The sequence below is a fragment of the Homo sapiens genome, chromosome 8, assembly GCF_000001405.40.
Source record: "Homo sapiens chromosome 8, GRCh38.p14 Primary Assembly".
Taxonomy (NCBI): Eukaryota; Metazoa; Chordata; class Mammalia; order Primates; family Hominidae; genus Homo; species Homo sapiens.
This window is the reverse complement of record NC_000008.11, coordinates 139,719,804-139,720,811: the sequence shown is the minus strand read 5'-3', so window position 1 is coordinate 139,720,811 and position 1,008 is coordinate 139,719,804. Positions and strand designations below refer to the sequence as shown.

Here is a 1,008-nt window from a genome sequence, read left to right as displayed (position 1 = left end):
ACACACAAGCAAATGATAAAGACCAAAAAGTAATTAACACGAAATTTAGCATACTGATTCCCTCTGGGGGAAAGAATAATGGGATTTGTGAGGAGCAAACAAAGAGCTTTAGAAATTAGGAAATGTTCCATTTCTTCACCTGCACAGTGGAAACTTAATTAATCTAGGTCTCTGTCCAAAAAGTGAGATATTCAATTCAGATGATGAGAATTGTCAAAGACGTGGCTTTTGGTTAAGAAAAAAAGAGAAAGAATTTTAAGATCCTTTGGCACTGACCCAGCAAACCAATAAAGAATTCTTCCTTCCTTCCACCTTTAGAATTTAGTTTGCCATTTCAAACCTGCTGATTAATCACAGTGTTCTCCTGGCAGCCGCCCAAGCCTGCTCCTCTGTGAGTGAAGCTGGAGCCCTCAGGCAGGAACGCCTTTAGCACCACGGACAGCGACCTACAGCTACCACTCCGGAGACAAGCCTTATAAGGAACTCAGTTGCAGAAGGGCAGAAGTCTTAAAAGTCTTGGCCCAGGCCCCCAAAAAGCTGGTGGCAGAGCATGAAATAGAATCCAGGTCTCCTGATGCCTAATTCAGTGCTTGTTGTATTCCGCCTGGCCTTGAATAAATGGACTGGAACTTTTCGACGAACCAGGAAGTCACCAGAGGACATGTGAGGCTTCCATGTCTGCCAGTGAAAGCTTGGGCTTCACATCCAGTCTCATTTGGGTTTAGATCCGGACTATGCCCGTTAGATCTGGACTCTGCCCTTGCCATTTGAATGTCCTGGGAAGTCACTGCACCTCTCCAAGCCTCAGTGCTGATAGTATCACCTCCCTACAGAGAATTCAGTGACATTAGGTATATCTCATGCTCAGGATAGCGATGTGCACACTGCTGCTTATTTCAAAAAGAGGAAAATTCCCTTAGCCTTTCCCATAGTGTGTTTCAAATCAGAAGGGAAAGGAATTGGTTTTCTGGAATGTGTAAAAGATGCTGAAACCATATTATTGTTTAG

General features: G+C 43.8%; 1 annotated feature.

Moving 5' to 3' along the window:
• Window positions 292-586: a silencer, noted in NCBI's record as "tiled region #15097; HepG2 Repressive DNase unmatched - State 9:DNaseU, and K562 Repressive DNase unmatched - State 9:DNaseU". NCBI's record gives its function as "represses a minimal TATA promoter and a strong SV40 promoter by Sharpr-MPRA in HepG2 and K562 cells {active_cell/tissue: HepG2 | K562}" and the evidence as "EXISTENCE:reporter gene assay evidence [ECO:0000049][PMID:27701403]".